General features: G+C 38.5%; 1 protein-coding gene across 25 annotated transcripts in view, besides 1 other annotated feature; it reads right to left on the bottom strand.

Moving 5' to 3' along the window:
* TBC1D32 (TBC1 domain family member 32) overlaps nt 1-20,336 on the bottom strand; it is a 255,236-nt gene that overhangs the window by 170,915 nt on the left and 63,985 nt on the right. For 24 of the 25 annotated variants that reach the window (NR_104452.2, XR_942346.3, XM_047418311.1 and 21 more), the window contains 2 exons: nt 5,676-5,877; nt 4,920-5,002 (listed from right to left, as the gene is read on the bottom strand). Coding sequence is in view for 23 of the 25 variants with exons in the window: in XM_047418311.1 (XP_047274267.1) it covers nt 4,920-5,002; nt 5,676-5,877 (285 nt within the window). In the remaining 2 variants the exon portion in view is untranslated. The remainder of the gene's footprint in view (nt 1-4,919; nt 5,003-5,675; nt 5,878-20,336) is intronic. The other variant, XM_017010404.1, reaches the window with a different exon arrangement.
* Nucleotides 16,388-16,557: an enhancer, noted in NCBI's record as "experimental_89007 CRE fragment used in MPRA reporter constructs". NCBI's record gives its function as "activates a minimal promoter by MPRAs in K562 erythroleukemia cells, with activity observed for both the introgressed and non-introgressed 6:121588027 variant alleles {active_cell/tissue: K562}" and the evidence as "EXISTENCE:reporter gene assay evidence [ECO:0000049][PMID:34662402]".

The raw sequence follows: 20,336 nt of genomic DNA on the forward strand, positions 1-20,336 counted from the left end.
CTGGGAAGCAAGGATGGTTCAACATATGCAAATAAATAAAAGTAATCCATCAAATAAACAGAACCAATGACAAAAATCACATGATTATCTCAACAGATGCAGAAAAGGCCTTCGATAAAATTCAACACCCCTTTATGCTAAAAACTCTCAATAAACTAGGTATTGATGGAACATATCTCAAAATAATAAGAGCTATGTATGATAAACTTACAGCCAAGATCATACTGAATGGGCAAAAACTGGAAGCATTCCCTCTCAAAACTGGCACAAGACAAGGGTGGTCTCTCTCACCACTCCTACTGAACATAGTATTGGAAGTTCTGGCCAAAACAATCAGGCAAGAGAAAGAAATAAAAGGTATTCAAATAGAAAGAGAGGAAGTCAAATTTTCTCTGCAGATGACATGATTATATATTTAGAAAACTCCATCACCTCAGCCCAAAAACTCTTTAAGCTGATAAGCAACTTCAGCAAAGTCTCAGGATACAAAATCAACGTGCAAAAATCACAGGCATTCCTATACACCAATAATAGACAGAGAGTCAAATCATGAGTGAACTCCCATTCACAACTGCTGCGAGGAAAATAAAATACCTAGGAATACAACTTACAAAGGACATGAAGGACCTCTTCAGGGAGAGCTACAAACTACTACTCAAGGAAATAAGAGAGGAGACAAACAAATGGGAAAACATTCCATGCTCATGAATAGGAAGAATCAATATTGTGAAAATGGTCATACTGCCCAAAGTTATTTGATTCAATGCTATTCCCATCAAGCTACCATTGACTTTCCTCATAGAATTAAAAAAAAACTACTTTAAATTTCATATGGAACCAAAAAAGAGCCCACTTAGCCAAGACAATCCCAAGCAAAAAGAACAAAGCTGGAGGCATCATGCTACCTGACTTCAAGCTATACTACAAGGCTATGATAACCAAAAGAGATATATAGACCAATGGAACAGAACAGAGGCCTCAGAGATAACACCACATATCCATAACCATGTGATCTTCAACAAACCTGATAAAAACAAGCAATGGGGAAAGGATTCCCTACTTAATAAATGGTGCTGGGAAAACTAGTAGCAATATGCAGAAAACTGAAACTAGATGCCTCCCTTACACCTTATACAAAAATTAACTCAAGATGGATTAAAGACTTAAACATAAAATCTAAAACCATAAAAACTATAGAAGAAAACCTAGGCAATACCATTCAGGACATAGGCATGGGCAAAAACTTCATGACTAAAACACCAAAAGCAATTGCAGCAAAAGCCAAAATTGACAAATGGGATCTAATTAAACTACAGAGTTTCTGCAAAGCAAAAGAAACTATCATCAGAGTGAACAGGCAACCTACAGAATGGGAGAAAATTTTTGCCATCTATCCATCTGACAAAGGTCTAATATCCAGAATCTATAAGCAACTTAAGGAAATTTACAAGAAAAAACAACCCCATCAAAAAGTGGGCAAAGGATATGAACAGACACTTCTGAAAAGAAGACAGCCAACAAACATATGAAACATATTTATGCGGCCAAGAAACATATGAAAAAAAGTTCATCACCACTGGTCATTAGAGAAATGCAAATCAAAACCACAGTGAGATACCATCTCATGCCAGTTAGAATGACAATCATTAAAAAGTCAGGAAAAAACAGGTGCTAGAGAGGATGTCGAGAAATAGGGACGATTTTACACTGTTGGCGGGAGTGTAAATTAGTTCAACCATTGTAGAAGACAGTGTGACGATTCCTCAAGAATCTAGAACCAGAAATACCATTTGACCCCTCAATCCCATTACTGGGTATATACCCGAAGGATTATGAATCATTCTACTATAAAGACACATGCACACATATGTTTATTGCAGCATTGTTCACAATAACTAAGACTTGGAACTAATGCAAATGCCCATTAAAATGACAGACTGGATAAAGAAAATGTGGCACATACACAACATGAAATACAGCCATAAAATGAATGAGTTCATGTCCTTCGCAGGGAGATGGATGAAGCTGGAAACCATCATTCTCAGCAAACTAACACAGGAACAGAAAACCAAACACTGCATGTTCTCACTCATAAGTAGGAGTCAAACGATGAGAACACATGGACACAGGGAGGAGAATATCACACACCAGGGCCTCTCAGGGGGTGGAGAGCCAGGGGAGGGAGAGCATTAGGACAAATACCCAATATATGCAGGAATTACAACCTAGATGACGGGTTGATGGGTGCAGCAAACCACCATGGCACATGTATACCTATGTAACAAACCTGCATATTCTGCACATGTATCCCAGAACTTAATGTATAATAAATAAAAAAATAAAAACAGACATGTAGACCAATGGAACAGAATAGAGAACCCAGAAATAAAGCCAAATACTTACAGCCAACTGATCTTCAACAAAGCATAAGAAAAAAACATTAATTGGGGAAAGGACATTATTTAATAAATGGTGCTGGGAAAACTGGCAAGCCACATGTAGAAGAAAGAACCAGATCCTCATCTCTCACCTTATATAAAAATCAACACATGATGGATCAAAGACTTAATCTAAGACATGAAATCATAAAAATTCTAGAAGATAACATTGGAAAAACTCTTCTGGGCATTAGCTTAGGCAAAGAATTCATGACTAAGACCTCAAAAGCAATTGCAACAAAACCAAAAATAAATAAATGGGACATAATTAAACTAAAGAGCTTCTGCACAGCAAAAAAAATAAGCGGAGTAACCACAACCCAATGTGGGAGAAAATATTCACAAACTATGCAATGTCTAACAAAGGACTAATTTCCAGAATCTACAAAGAAGCCAAAGAAATCAGCAAGAAAACAAAAAACAAATAATCTCATTAAAAAGTGGGCAAAGGACATGAAGAAACAATTCTCAAAACGTACAAACAGCCAACGAGCACTTGAAAAAAAATGTTCAACATCACTAATCATCAGGGAAATGCAAATTAAAACCACTTATTCCCGCAAGAAAAAAAGGCCGTAATTAAAAAGTCAAGGCCGGCACGGTGGCTCACGCCTGTAATCCCCGCACTTTGGGAGGCCGAGGCGGGCGGATCACGAGGTCAGAAGATCAAGACCATCCTGGCTAACATGGTGAAACCCCGTCTCTACTAAAAATACAAAAACATTAGCCGGGCGTGGTGGTGGGCGCCTGTAGTCCCAGCTCCTCAGGAGGCTGAGGCAGGAGAATGGCGTCAATCTGGGAGGCGGAGCTTTCAGTGAGCCGAGATCACTCCACTGCACTCCAGCCTGGGCGACAGAGCGAGATTCCGTCTCAAAAAAAAAAGTCAAAAAAACAATAGATGTTGGTATGCATGTGGTGGGACACTTTTATACTGCTGGTGGGAATGTAAACTAGTACGACCACTATTGAAAACAGTATGGAGATTCCTTAAAGAACTAAAAGTAGAACTACAATTTGATCCAGCAATCCCACTACTGGGTATCTCACTCAAAGGAAAAGAAGACATTATATGAAAAAGACATAGGCACAAGCATGTTTATAGGAGCACAATTCACAATTGCAAAGATATGAAACCAATCTAAGTGCCCATCAACCAACAAGTGAATAAAGAAAATGTGGTACATATATGCCATGGAATACTACTCAGTCATAAAAAAAAAAGGAAATAATGTCTTTTGCACCAAGTTGGATGGAGCTGGAGGCCGATTTTTCTAAGTTAAGTAACTCAGAAATAAAAATCCAAATGTCATATGTTCTCACTTATAAGTGGGAGCTAAGCTCTGAGGATGCAAAGGCATAAGCATGATATAATGGACTCTGCGGGTACAGAAGGAAAATTTGGAAGGAGGGTAAGGGATAAAAAATTACATATTGGGTACAGTGTACACTGCTTGAGTGATGGATGCACAAAAAGCTCAGAAATCACCACTGAAGAATGCATCCATGTAACCAAAAGCACCTGTACCCCAAAAACTATTGAAATAAAAATTGAAATCACTACTGAAATTAAAAATGAAAATTAATTATTAAAAAATGAGATCTAAAAATTACCTCAAAAATAAACTATAGAAATGCATTTTTGTCACCCTTTAATGCAAAAAACAAAGCAGCTCATTGTGTGACAACTATATTAGAAAATAAATTATAGAAAATGTTTAGGGAATTAACTATTTGTTGAACCATTATACTGTTAAGGAAATGCAGAAGGCTTTTTGATTGTTTTGTAAGTTAAACTATACCTACCTTAAAAAAATTCAAATTCCACTTCAACATCTCTTTAACAAAGAATAGCCCTTCAAGTTCTCCCTAATTATTATCATTTTAGACTATGCCAATATTTGATTATAAAATAAGAACAGAACCCAGAAAAACATGTTGCCCGAGTTTAGTTCAAAAAATCTATTTTCCCCATTAATCTGACTCCATATCCTACTGATATCTGTAAAGAAACATGGAGACATATAAATTAAAATTTGATATAAATATTGATTTAAATAATTTTCCAAAGCCAAAACCTAACTGAAATGTACTCCCACCACTTTTAGAAAAATAATATTTTAAATATAAATAGACTTCATTGGCATTTGAGAACATATTATTTCTACTAAACTCTCCAGTTAACTTTCCAACTTTGGTATTTGGTAATTCTCCAAATTTTCTGGAAACACGATAATATCACATTTCCTAATCTAAGATGTAAAAACAGAATGAAACAAGTATAATAAATATTGTTAGATTTTAAAAAGGTTATGAGTATTACATGATCTCTAAAGTTTTTCCAAACTAATTTTCCTTGAAGCTGTATATATACATTTACCATCCTGTAAAACATTTTTGCCATAGTATTCTATTACATTTTAATAATTTTAAATTTATTTCAGCAAATATAATAAATGCATGACTTTCATCAATTGTACTTACATGTTTTGGGATTCCTGGCTTACTGAAGAAACAGAATCAGAACCCTCTACTGGAGTAGGAATTCTTTCTGATAGCAAACTTGTCTAAAAAATAGTAGAATAATTTATATTGCTTACTGATAGCACTAGCCATATATTTATATTTTATAATTATATTTATAATTATATTTTATAATTATATTTATAATTATATTTTATATTTCTTACTGATAGCACTACCCATAAGATTTCTTATGTTGCATTTTTGTTTTATCCTTAATGTTATTAAAATCAAAATTATCTTCAAATTTTAAATTATTTGGTTGTTAATGAAATATCATATAACATATTTTACAAATAAACCATATCAAATGGGGGGAAAAGACTTAGTTGTCCACTGATATACACATATATGGCTATTGCTACATTACGATCTCTAGTATCCACAACAAAAACCCAGCTGTCTCTAAAAATTACTTTAAAATAACTCCCAAAGAGTGTTAGTCTATGTAAGGAAAATTAACCTAAAGCCTCATCTACGAGAAGAAAAGAATCTGTAGTACCCATTTAAGTCTTAGAACTTTGTCCCACTGGGAAAGGAAATACTGCAGTCATCCTGTGCCAAATTAAGATGCATTATGTCCCCTAGAGTACTGTGATGCTAAAGAAGTCATATTTGCCCCAGTTAAATATTTCATCCAAAGTACAACACTATAATGGTGCTTATATTTGAAATAAAGATTTGCAGGGAGAAAAAACGAAGCTTGAAAATACTTACCTTTTTCCATGCCTTTGCTATAGATTCATGCAAATTATAAGTGATTAACACCTGCAAACCTTCACATGTACTATATATGTGACGACACACAGAAATAAAAGCTCCTTTAACCACAGGCAACATTTCTGATCCAGAAAATATAGAAATATCTTCATCGAGAAGTTTTTTCGAAAACTGGGCAATTATATGAGCACCTGTAGGACTAAAAGATGATACCTGAAAGTGATTCCAAGGTTATATTAATCTTGACTTCATAAAGCTCTACCAAAAAGGCTAGTCTTGTCACAAAAACTTAGTCCTCCTCTAACTTTTCTCAGACATGTCAATATTCACGTTCCCACCCATGCACAGATGTCTAGTAATGAGAACAGTTTCCGTGGGATGGAAGGAAAAAAATACAGAGACAGGGAAAAAGCAGGAAAACTTTACAATGAAAAGATTATAGACGCATTGAGACCACAGCCATGTAGATAAGTATTGTCAATTCTACAGTGAAAACATAATCCTAAATGCTCCATTCCTAGCACTTATTGACACATTCCCCATCCCATTAACAGGACTTAGTTCCCCTATATCAAAGGCTGAGAAACTTTTTTTTTTCTTTTTTTTTTTGAGATGGAGTGTCCTCTGTCAACCAGACTGGAGTGCAATGGCGCGGTCTTGGCTCACTCTGCCTGCTGGGTTCAAGCGATTCTCCTGCCTCAGCCTCCTGAGTAGCTGGGATTACAGGGGCATGCTACCATGCCTGGCTAATTTTTGTACTTTTTTAGTAGAGATGGGGTTTCACCATATTGGCCAGACTGGTCTCGAACTCCTGACCTCAGGTGATAAACCCGCCTCAGCCTCCCAAAGTGCTGGGATTACAGGTGTGAGCCACCATGCCCGGCCGGCTGAGACACTTTTAAAAGTAATAATAGATAAGTATTTAATAAATGCTCAGAATTTACACAAGTTCAATGGTGCGCATTAGATTGTTGTAGTTACAGGTCCTAATATTTTTCCCTATGCCACTGATTTGTTGGAAAAACAGTCATGTTTATTTGGATAACTACTTTACCATGGTGTCATTTAACTTTTTTCTCTAGTTCTCCATATATCCTATAAAGTGATCATCAGATCTAGAGAATTATTTAAAGTTTAACTTCTTTTGTTTCGTTTCCTTTTTTTTTCCTTGGTAAAATAACTTCATAGTTGGTTGCCGCTGTCTACCTCCTACTGCATGAAGCACTATCTGGATGTCCCAATTTTAGTGGTGCTAAAGATCACTGGTCAGATGGTATCACACTGACCTCTCTAGTACGTAGTCCTCCCCATCAACCTTTCACCTAATGATTTTAGCATCCATTAATGATCATTGCCTACATCCACTATTTCACTAAGGATTACCAAATTACGATTTTTCTGATTATAGCATTTAGTTTGCATTTATTAGCTAGAATTCTTCTGTGAAGAACTTTTCCTCAGTAACATTTTAGTTACACTAAAATACAGTTTGTAAAGAAAAGGCTGGAAAAAAATGCTTAAATTTTCTTTTTATCAATTTGCATACTAACAAGTTGGTGTCCTAGTGACTTCAGCAGGTAACCGATAAAGTGTATTTTTTGTTTGTTTTCTGTTTTAGTGCCTTTTCAAACCCATGTTTTTTTTTATATACTTTATGTATGTCAATCCATTGCAGTCATTATTTTTCTGATTCTCAAATTGTCCATCTTAAGCCAGTAGGAGGCCCCTTCTGGTTGGCTCTGGGGTACTTTTGACACTATCCCATTGGTCTTAGATAGCTTCTAAAATGGTAAGATACCCCAGGATCATCCTCCATACTTCCTGGCCCAGACCCAGAATCAGCCACTCCTGTCTCTTCTTAGAACAAAAAGATGTTTAGACAATACAGATAACAGCTCACAGTAAAGTAGTTGCTACCATTCCAGTGATAGTGCTGGGAAAAATATAACAAGAGAAAAATAAGTTCATAATTTTATTTCTATTATGAAGATTTAGGTTTCTTATTTAACCTCTTTAACTTTATACTTTTATCTTTTTCTCTTATATTAAAAAATCTTAGTTCCTTATGACATTACTATAATTACTTATTTGCTCTGTTATAATTATGTATAATAATTTCAAAACAGCAACAGCAATATTACTTCTAAACATACACTAAATGCAGTTTAAGATTACTTTGAGGAATTTTTTTTAACCTTAGAATATATCCCACTGGAAATTTTCAATCAAAATTAGATTATTTGAAGTAATTCTTTTCTCTGCATGAATATGTCACTAACTCGATTGATATTTAAACTTACTAATCCCTTTGTTTGCAGCTTTTAAATACTGTGGCTTCACTTTTTCTTTTTTTTTTCTGTTTTTTGTTTTTTGTTTTACATTTAGTATGTAAACAGCAAGATGAGTCCAAAGTCAAATCTAAGTATAATCAAGGTATAATCCTAGATATCTTGTTTCCATATCTGTTTCTCCACATTTTTCTCTCCCCTCTCCTAAAATTAACCATTTTCATTAGTTTTCACTTTGTCCATTCATCATTCTCTTTTAAAAATATAAACAAATATGATCATTCATATTTCTTTGTATCATACAAAAGGTAGCATTCTATTAACATTCTTCTGTTCCTTTATTCACTTAACAACATATCCTGAAAATAACTCCACAGAAGTACACAAAAATATTCCCTTTTATAGACAGCTCAGTGCTCCATTGTGTAAACATAATTCAATCAACTAGCCTCTTCTTATTGAACATTTGAGATGATTCCAGTCTTCCATTAATATAAATAATCAGAATCTATACTTTTAACTGGACCATGAAGATTCAGAAGAAAATCTAACATTTTATGCCTTATCTGTTTAACTTCAATGTGAGGGAGACTTTCTTTAATATTAAAAAAAAAAAGAAAGAAAGAGAAGAAAGAAAAAAGAGCCAGGTGCAGTGGTTCATGACTGTAATCCCAGCACTTTCGGAGGCAAAGTCGGGTGGATCACTTGAGGTCAGGAGTTCGAGACCAGCCTGGACAACATGGCGAAACTCCATCTCTACTAAAAATACAAAAATTAGCCCAGCACGGTGGCGCACACCTATAGTCTCAGCTACTCTGGAGGCTGAGGCAGGAGAATCGCTTGAACCCAGGAGGTGGAGGTTGCAGTGAGCAGAGATCGCACAACTGCACTCCAACCTGGGCGGCAGACTGAGACTCCACCTCAAAAAAATAAACAAAATAAAAAGAACCCAGATCTCATAAAGATAATGATTGGGAAAAATTTGACTACATGTAAATTAATAATATCTATATAGAAAAAAACACTTAAATAGGGTTAAGTGGTAGACAATAAAAAGAAGTCTTGGAACTCATGACAAAGAATTAGTCTTCCTAATTTTAAAAACAGTTGTTATTGATAAAGACCTCTAGTGAAATATGGCAGACTGAACATATACATTCACTGCTCCCTTCATAAATACTAAAATTCAAAGTAAAAGGATTTTCCAGTAGGCAATAAAACCCCCAAAGACAAGGAGAATGGAAAGGATGTGGTAGTAAAATTTTAGAACCTGAAAATCAAAATAACAAGCAGTAATTCAGGACATAGAGAAACCTGAATTATCAGCCACAATGTGAAAAACAGAATAAACCTGATTCATTTTATAGAACCTCTCAAAAAACTCAAGAATTGGTGGTAACAAATATCTCTAAATTGGGGGGTAAAAGTGAAATTGAAAACAGAAGAGCTGCCTGAAAGCCAGTTTTAGGAGTCTGACCTCCAGATTCCCCCCAACATTTCATGCAGCTAACCCAGTGTGCTTCTTGAAAGGTAGGCAGAGCTCAAGAAATAGAAGACAACAGAGGGTATCACAGGATTCAATCGAAGTTTATATACTAACACTTGAGACCCATCACCATTTCCACCCAGCCTTCTTCTCCCACTAGGCTTATACTCCTCAGGCAGCTAACAGTAAGAGGTTTCTCTATGGAATCCCTTAAGAACAAAGGAGAAACCAAATATACTGACATTAGGGGTTCCCAAACAAAATGCCACAGAAAGGGCCCACTAAAGTAAAGACCACAAATTACAAGTCCCACTTTCTTGTATCGTTTCCAAGCATCTTTTTACTGACTTTCAAATATTTGAATAAACCTCCAATTTAAAAAAGACCATGATGAGAAATACAGAAAGCAATTTAGAAGGAAAAAAGAAAATATGACAGATTAAAGCTTTATTATCTTTATGTAGGTAAAAAGAACTTACACTCAAAAAAAAATGGGGGCAGGAGGCAAATGGCCAACTAGAAGCAGCGGCCATCAGAGGCTCCCACTGAAAAGAACCAAAACAGCATTTGAATCCTGCACTGGCAACTGAGGTATCCAGGTTTTATCATCAGAACTGACTAGGCGGCTGGCATGACCCATGGAGAGGAAGGAAGAGCAGGGTGGTATGGCAGCCCACCTTAGATCTACACAGGGCAAGGAGCTGCCTCCCCTCAGCCAAGTGGGATGGTGATTGAGCATGCTACCCAGCCTGGGAAGCTGTGCTTTTCCATGGAACTGTGCTGCCCATGGTTCAGAAGATCCCACTGGTGAGCCCACGCCACTGAGGCCTTCAGTCCAAACCACAGAGCCATGCAGACTCTCAACAGCCACTCGGCTGGAATCATCCTAGGCCTGCCAAGTTCCTGGAGGGAGGGGTGGCCATCACCACTGCTGCTGCTGATTGCTGTCTAAGCCATCTGAGCTCGCTGGGGGAGAGGCAGAGCCAACACTGCTGCGGCTAGCTACCTAAGACACTAAGCTCCCATGGGCGAAGGACTGCAGCTATCACTATAGCTCCAGGCCGTGCTTTTCCCTGCTAGAGCCAGGGAAATTCAGGAGGCTGAACGGCTTGGTCCCAAGAGGTATTCCCCACAGCGCAGCACACCAGCTGTGGCAGATCTTGGCCAGATTGCCTCTTCAGAACGGATGCTGACTCAACCCTCCTCACTGGGTGGGGTCTCCCTACAGGAACTCCAACAACTCCAGCCAGTGGCTCAGGGACAGAACTCTGATCTCCCTGGCCTGAGCCCCTAGAAGAAGGGGTGACCGCAGTCTCTATGGAACAGCAGACTTAGTCTTTCCTCCTGCTAGCTCTGAGGAATCTGGGCAGACCGGAAGAGTTGGTTTCCCCCCAGTGCAGCACACCCTCTGCCAAGGAGCAGTCAAAGTGGGTCCTGGTTCCCATGCCCCCCAACTGGGTGAGACACCCCAAAAGGGGTCACCAGACACCCTACACAGGAGCGTTCCTACTGGCATCAGGTTGGTGCCCCTCAAGGTCAGAGATCCCAGAGGAAAGAGCCAGGCACCCATCTTTGCTGTTCTCCAGCCTCCTCAGGTGACATCTCCAGGTGTGGAAGCGAACCAGATGAATAGGGCCTGAAGTGAACCCCCAGCAAACCACAGCAGCCCTACAGAAGAGGGACCTGACAATTGAAAGAAAAACAAACAGAAAGCTACAACAACAGCATCAACTAAAAAAATCCTCAAAAAAACCTCATCCAAGGGTCAGCAGCCTCAAAGATCCAAAGTGAACAAACTCATGAAGATGAGAAAGAATCAATGAAAAAAATGCTGAAAACCCAAAAGGCCAGATTGTCTCTTTTCCTCCAAATGATCACAACACCTCTCCAGCAAGGGCACAGAACTGGACGGAGGATGAGATGGATGAACTGACAGAAGTGGGCTTCAGAAGGCAGGTAATAACAAACTTCAATGAGGTAAAGGAGCATGTTCTAACCCAATGCAAAGATGCTTAGAACCATGATACTAGGTTACAGGAGCTGCTAACTAGAATAACCAGCTTAGAGAGGAACATTTTAAATGACCTGATGGAGTTGAAAAACACAACACGAAAACTCTGTGAATCATACACAAGAATCAATAGCCAAATCAATCAAGTGGAAGAAAAAATACCAGTGTTTGAAGACTATCTTGCTGAAATAAGGCAGGCTTAGAGAAAAAAGAGTAAGAAGTAATGTACAAAACCTACAAGAATTATGGGACTATGTAAAAAGACTGAACCTATGACTGATTGGAGTACCTAAAAGAAACGGGAAGAATGGAACCAAGTTAGAAAACACACTTCAGGATATCATCCAGGAGAACTTCCCCAACCTAGCAGGACAGGCCAACATTCAAATTCAGGAAATACAGAGAACCTCACTAAGATACTCCACGAGAAGATCAACCACAAGACACATAATCATCAGATTCTCCAAGGTTGAAATGAAAGAAAAAATGTTAAGGGCAGCCAGAGAGAAAGGCCAGGTCACCTACAAAGGGAAGCCCATCAGAGTAATAGCAGATATCTCAGCAAAAAATCTATAGGCCAGAAGAGAATAGAGGCCAATATTAAATACTTTTTTTTTTTTTTTGAGACAGAGTCTCGCTCTGTCACCCAGGCTGGAATGCAGTGGCATGATCTCGACCCACTGCAACCTCCTCCTCCCAGGTTCAAGCAATTCTCCTGCCTCAGCCTCCTGAGTAGCTGGGACTATAGGCATGTGCCACCATACCTGGCTAATTTTTCTATTTTTAGTACAGACAGAGTTTCGCCATGTTGGCCAGGCTGGTCTCGAACTCCTGACCTCAGGTGATCTGCCCGCCTCAACCTCCCAAAGTGCGAGGATTACAGGCATGAGCTATGGCACCCAGCCATTGAACATTCTTAAAGAAAAAAATTTTCAACTCAGAATTTCATATCTGGCCAAACGAAGCTTCATAAATAAATAAAATCCTTTACAGACAATCAAATGCTAAGGGAGTTCATCACCACCAGGCCTGCCTTGCAAGAGTTCCTGAAGCAAGCACTAAATAGGGAGAGGAAAAATCAGTACCAGCCACTGAAAAAAAACACACTAAACTACAAAGACCAATGACATTATGAAGAAACTGGATTAACTAGTGTGCAAAATAACCAGCTGGCATCATGATGACAGGATCAAATTCACACATAACAATATTAACCTACAATGTAAATGGGCTAACTGCCTCAATTAAAAGATACAGACTGGAAAATTGGATAAAGAGTCAAGACGAATCAGTGTGCTGTATTCAAGAGACTCATCTCATATGCAAATATACACATAGGCTCAAAAAACAAAACAAAAAAAAGATAGAGGTAAATCTACCTAGCAAATGGAGAGCAGAAAAAAAGCAGGGGTTTCAACACCAGTTTCTGACAAAACAGACTTTAAACCAACAAAGATCAAAAAAGACAAAGAAGGCCATTACATAATGGTAAAGGGATCAATTCAACAAGAAGAGCTAACTATCCGAAATATACATGCACCCAATATAGGAGCACCCAGTTTGATAAAACAAGTTTTTAGAGACCTAAAAGCGGCTTAGACTACCACACAATAATAGTGGGAGACTTTAATACCCCACTGACAATATGAGACAGTGGGGTATTAACGAGACAGAAAATTAACAAGGATACTCAGGACTTGAACTCAGCTCTGGATCAAGAGGACCTAATAGATATCTACAGAACTCTCCACCCGAAAACAACAGAATATACATTCTTCTCAGTGCCACATGGCACTTACTTTAAAATCAACCACATAATTGGAATTAAAATACTCCTCAGCAAATGCAAAAGAAATGAAATCATTATAGACAGTCTCTCAAACCACAGTGCAAAACTCAAGATTAAGAAACTCACCCAAAACCACACAAATACATCAAAATTGAACAACCTGCTCCTGAATGACTCCTAGGTAAATAATGAAAGTAAGGCAGAAATCAAGAATTTCTTTGAAGCCAATGAAAACAAAAAGACAATGTACCAAAATCACTGGGATGCAGCTAAAGCAGTGTTAGGAGGGAAATTGATAGCACTAAATGCCCACATCAGGAAGCTAGAAAGATCTCAAATCGACACCATAACATCAAAACTAAAATAACTAGCGAATCAAGAGCAAACAAATACAAAAGCTAGAAGACAGGAAATAACTAAGAACAGAGCAGAAATGAAGGAGAGACGGACATGAAAACCCTTCAGAAAAAATCAATGAATCCAGGAGCTGTTTTCTTGAAAAAATAAAATAGACCACTAGTTAGATTAATAAAGAAGAAAAGAGAGAAGAATCAAATAGATGCAATAAAAAATGAAAAAAGAGATATCACCACCAACCCCACAGAGTCAAACTACCATCAGAGAATACTACAAACATCTCTGTGTAAATAAACTAGAAAATCTAGAAGAAATGGTTAAATTCCTGGACACATAAACCCTCCCAAGAAGAAGTCAAATCCTTGAATAGACCAATAACAAGCTCTGAAATTGAGGCAGTAATAAATAGCCTAGCAACTAAAAAAAGCCAAGGACCAAATGGATTCACAGCCAAATTCTACCACAGGTACCAAGAGGAGCTGGTACCATTCCTGCTGAAACTATTCCTAACAATTAAAAGGAAGGGATTCCTTCCTAACTCATTTTATGAGGCCACCATCATCCTGATACCAAAGCCTGGCAGAGACACAACAAAAAAAGAAAACTTCAGGCCAATATCCCTAATGAACATCAGTGTGAAAATCCTCAACAAAATACTCACAAACCAAATCCAGCAGCACATCAAAAAGCTTATCCACCATGATCAAGCTGGCTTCATCCCTGGGATGCAAGGCTGGTTCAACATACACAAATCAATAAACATAATTCATCACGTAAACAGAACCAATGACAAAAATCATGATTACCTCAATAGATGCAGAAAAGACCTTCGATAAAATTCAACATCCCTTCATGCTAAAAACTCTCAATAAACTAGGTATTGATGGAACATATCTCAAAATAATAAGAGCTATTTATGACAAACTTACAGACAATATTATACTGAATGGACAAAAGCTAGAAGCACTCCCTTTCAAAACCAGCAAAAGACAAGGATGCCCTCTCTCACCACTCCTATTAAACATAGTATTGGAAGTTCTGGCCAAGGCAATCAGGCAATAGAAACAAATAAAGGGTATTCAAATAGGAAGAGAGGAAGTCAAATTGTCTCTGTTTGCAGATGACATGATCCTATATTTAGAAAACCCCATCGTGTCAGCCCAAAAGCTCCTTAAGCTGACAAGCAACTTTAGCAAAGTCCCAGTATATAAAATCAATGTGCAAAAATCAGAACCATTACTATACATCAACAACAGACAGAGAGCCAAATCATGAATGAACTCCCATTCACAATTGCTACAAAAAGAATAAAATACCTAGGAATACAGCTAACAAGGGACGTGAAGGAACTCTTCAAAGTGAACTATAAGCCACTGCTCAAGGCAATAAGAGAGGACATAAACAAATGGAAAAACATTCTATCCTCATGGATAGCAAGAATCAACATTGTGAAAATGGCCATACTGCCCAAAGTAAATCATAGATTCAATGCTATTCCCATCAAACTACCATTGACATTCTTCACAGAATTAGAAAAAAAACTACTTAAAAAAAATTCATATGGAACCAAAAAAGAAAAAAAAAAGAGCCCATATAGCCAAGTCAATCCTAAACAAAAAGAACAAATCTGGAGGCATCATGCTACGTGACTTCAACTATACTAAAAGACTACAGTAACCAAAACTGCATAGTACTGGTACAAAAACAGACATATAGACCAATGGAAAAGAATAGAGGCCTCAGAAATAAGACCACATCTACAACCATTTGATCTTTGACAAACCTAACAAAAACAAGCAATGAAGAAAGGAATCCCTATCTAATAAATGGTGGTGGGAAAACTGGCTAATCATATGCAGAAAACTGAAAATGGAAGCCTTCCTTACACCTTATATAAAAATTAACTCAAAATGGATTAAAGACTTGAATGCAAAACTCAAAACCATAAAACCACAGAAGAAAACCTAGACAATACCATTCAGGACATGGGCATGAGCAAAGATTTTATGATGAAATCGCAAAAAGCAATTGCAACAAAAGCTAAAACTGATAAATAAGATCTAATTAAACTAAAGAGCTTCTGCAAAGCAAAAGAAACTATTATCAGCATGAACAGGCAACCTGCAGAATGGGAGAAAATTTTTGCAATGTACCATCTGACAACATATAATACCCAGAATTTACAAGGAACTTAAACAAATTTACAAGAAAAAAATAAGCAACCCCATCAAAAAGTAGACATGAATGGACACTTCTCAAAAGAAGACATTTATGCAGCCAACAAACCTATGAAAAAAAGCTCAATATTAGTGATCATTAGAGAAATGCAAATCAAAACCACAATGAGATACCATCTCATGCCAGTTAGAATGGCAATTATTAAAAAGTCAAGGAACAACAGATGCTAGAGTGGATGTGGAGAAATAGGAATGCTTTTACACTGTTGGTGGGAATGTAAATTAGTTCAACCACTTCTGACAGTGTGGCAATTCCTCAAGGATCTAGACGCAGAAATATCATTTGAGTCAGCAATCCCACTACTGGGTATATACCCAAAGGAATATAAATCATTCTATTATAAAGATACATGGACATGTATGTTTACTGCAGCACTATTCACAATAGCAAAGATGTGGAACCAACCCAAACGCCTATTAATTATAGACTGGATAAGAAAATGTGGCACACATACACCATGGAATACTATGCAGCCATAAAAATGAATGAGCTCATGTCCTTTGCAGGCAGATGGATGAAGCTGGAAACCATCATCCTCAGCAAACTAACACGGAAACAAAAAACCAAATACCACATGTTCTCACTCATAAGTGGGAGATGAAAAATGAGAACACATGGACACAGAGAGGAGAACAACACACACCAGGGCCTGTCGGTGGGGAAGGGGCAAGGGGAGGGAGAGTGTCAGGACAAATAGATAATGCATGCAGGGCTTAATACCTAAGTGAGGTTGATATGTGCAGCAAACCATCATGGCACACATTTACCTATGTAACAAACATGCATGTTCTGCACATGTATCCTGGAACTTAAAAGTAAAATTAAAAAAAAAAAAAAAAGAATAGGACACTAAAATAACAATGTGCTCTTCTAAAAAAAAAAAAAGGTCGGGGGGAGGTTCCAAGATGGCTGAATAGGAACAGCTCCAGTCTACAACTCCCAGCGTGAGCGACGCAGAAGATGGGTGATTTCTGCATTTCCAACTAAGGTACCAGATTCATCTCACTGGGGCTTGTCGTACACTGGGTGCAGCCCATGGAGTGTGAACCGAAGCAGGGCGGGGCATCGCCTTGAAAGCGAAGCCCAAGGGGTCAGGGAATTCCCTTTCCTAGCCAAGGGAAGCTATGACAGACGGTACCTGGAAAATTGGGACACTCCCACCCAAATACTGCACTTTTCCAACGGTCTTAGCAACAGCACACCAGGAGATTATATCCTGCACCTGGCTTGGAGGGTCCCAAGCCCACAGAGCCTCCCTCACGGCTAGCACAGCAGTCTGAGATCAAACTGCAAGGTGACAGCAAGGCTGGGGGAGGGGCATCTGCCATTGCTGAGGCTTCAGTAGATAAACAAAGTGGCTGGAAAGCTTGAACTGGAGCCCACCGTAGCTCAAGGAGGCCTGCCTGCCTCTGTAGATGCCACCTCTGGGGACAGGGCATAGCTGAACAAAAGGCAGCAGAAACTTCTGCAGACTTAAATGTCCCTGTCTGACAGCTTTGAAGAGAGTAGTGGTTCTCCCTCTCTCCTCCTCCTCAAGTGGGTCCCTCCCTCCTCAAGTGGGTCCCTGTCTCCCAAGTAGCCTAACTGGCAGACAACTCTCAGTAGGGGCCAATGGACACCTCATATAACCGGGTGCCCTCCTGAGATGAAGCTTCCAGTGGAACGATCAGGCAGCAACATTTGCCATTCTGCAATATTTGCTGTTCTGCAGCCTCCACTGGTGATACCCAGGCAAACAGCGTCTGGAGTGGACCTCCAGCAAACTCCAACAGACCTGCACCGGAGGGTCCTACTGTTAGAAGGAAAACTAACAAACAGAAAGAATATCCACACCAAAACCCCATCTGTACGTCACCATCATAAAAGAAAAAAGGTAGATAAAATCACAAAGATGGGGAGAAACCAGAGCAGAAAAGCGAAAATTCTAAAAATCAGAGCACTTCTTCTCCTCCAAAGGAATGCAGCTCCTCGCCAGCAACAGAACAAAGCTGAATGGAGAATGACATTGATGAGTTGAGAGAAGAAGGCTTCAGATGATCGGTAATAACAAACTGCTCCAAGCTAAAGGAGGATGTTCAAACCCATTGCAAACAAGCTAAAAATCTTCAGAAAAGATTAGATGAATGGCTAACTAGAATAAACAGCACAGAGAAGATCTTAAATGACCTGATGGAACTGAAAACCATGGCATGAGAACTACGTGACGCATGCAAAAGCTTCAGTAGCCAGTTCGATCAACTGGAAGAAAGGGTAACAGTGAATGAAGATCAAATGCATGAAATTACGCAAGAAGAGAAGTTTAGAGAAAAGGACTAAAAAGAAATGAACAAAGCCTCCAAGAAATATGGGACTACGTGAAAAGACCAAATCTACGTCTGACTGATGTACCTGAAAGTGACGGGGAGAATGAAACCAAGTTGGAAAACGTTCTTCAGGATATTATCCAGGAGAACTTCCCCAACCTAGCAAGGCAGGCCAACATTCAAATTCAGGAAGTACAGAGAACACCACAAAGATACTCCTCAAGAAGAGCAACTGCAAGACACATAATTGTCAGATTCACCAAAGTTCAAATGAAGGAAAAAAATGTTAAGGGCAGCCAGAGATAAAGGTCGGGTTATTCACAAAGAGAAGCCCATCAGACTAACAGCGGATCTCTCGGCAGACACTCTGCAAGCCAGAAGAGAGTAGCAGCCAATATTCAACCTTCTTGAAGAAAAGAATTTTCAACCCAGAATTTCATGTCCAGCCAAACTAAGCTTCAAAAGTGAAGGAGAAATCAAATCCTTTGCAGACAAACAAATGCTGAGAGATTTTGTCACCACCAGGCCTGCCTTACAAGAGCTGCTGAAGGAAGCACTAAACATGGAATGGAACAACTGGTACCAGCCACTGCAAAAACATGCCAACTTGTACAGACCATCGAGGCTCGGAAGAAACTGCATCAACTAACAAGCAAAATAACCAGCTAACATCATAATGACAGGATCAAATTCACATATAACAATATTAACCTTAAATGAAAATGGGCTAAATGCTCCAATTAAAAGACATAGACTGGCAAATTGGATAAAGAGTCAAGACCCATCAGTGTGCTATATTCAGGAGACCCATATCATGAGAGAGACACACATAGGCTGAAAATAAAGGGATGGAGGAAGATCTACCAAGCAAATGGAAAACAAAAAAAAGCAGGGGTTGCAATCCTAGTCTCTGATAAAACAGACTTTAAACCAACAAAGATCAGAAGAGACAAAGAAGGACATTACATAATGGTAAAGGGATCAATTCAACAGGAAGAGCTAACTATCCGAAACATATATGTACCCAATACAGGAGCACCCAGATTCATAAAGCAAGTCCTTAGTGACCTACAAAGAGACTTACACTCCCACACAATAATAATGGGAGACTTTAACACCCCACTGTCAACATTAGACAGATCAAAGAGATAGAAAGTTAACAAGGATATCCAGGAATTGAACTCAGCTCTGCACCAAGTAGACCTAATAGACATCTACAGAACTCTCCACCCCAAATCAACAGAATATACATTCTTCTCAGCACCACATTGCACTTATTCCAAAATTGACCACATAGTTGGAAGTAAAGCACTCCTCAGGAAATGTAAAAGAACAGAAATTATAACAAACTGTCTCTCAGACCACAGTGCAATCAAACTAGAACTCAGGATTAAGAAACTCACTCAAAACTGCTCAACTACATGGAAACTGAACAACCTGCTCCTGAATGACTACTGGGTACATAATGAAATGAAGGCAGAAATAAAGATGTTCTTTGAAACCAACGAGAACAAAGACACAACATACCAGAATCTCTGGGACACATTCAAAGCAGTATGCAGAGGGAAATTTATAGCACTAAATGCCCACAAGAGAAAGCAGGAAAGATTTAAAATTGACACCCTAACATCACAATTAAAAGAACTAGAGAAGCAAGAGCAAACATATTCAAAAGTTAGCAGAAGGCAAAAAATAACTAAGATCAGAGCAGAACTGAAGGAGATAGAGACACAAAAAAACCCTTCAAAAAAAATCAATGAATCCAGGAGCTGGTTTTTTGAAAAGATCAACAAAATTGATAAACTGATAGCCAGACTAAAAGAAAAGAGAGAAGAATCAAATAGATGTAATAAAAAATGATAAAGGGTATATCACCACCAATCCCACAGAAATACAAACTACCATCAGAGAATACTATAAACACCTCTACGCAAATAAACTAGAAAATCTAGAAGAAATGGATAAATTCATGGACACATACACCCTCCCAAGACTAAACCAAGAAGAAGCTGAATCCCTGAATAGACCAATATCAGGCTCTGAACTTGAGGCAATAATTAATAGCCTACCAACCAAAAAAAGTCCAGGACCAGACGGATTCACAGCCAAAATCTACCAGAAGTACAAAGAGGAGCTGGTACCATTACTTCTGAAACTATTCCAATCAATAGAAAAAGAGGGAATCC

Source organism: Homo sapiens, chromosome 6 (assembly GCF_000001405.40).
Source record: "Homo sapiens chromosome 6, GRCh38.p14 Primary Assembly".
Classification (NCBI taxonomy): Eukaryota; Metazoa; Chordata; class Mammalia; order Primates; family Hominidae; genus Homo; species Homo sapiens.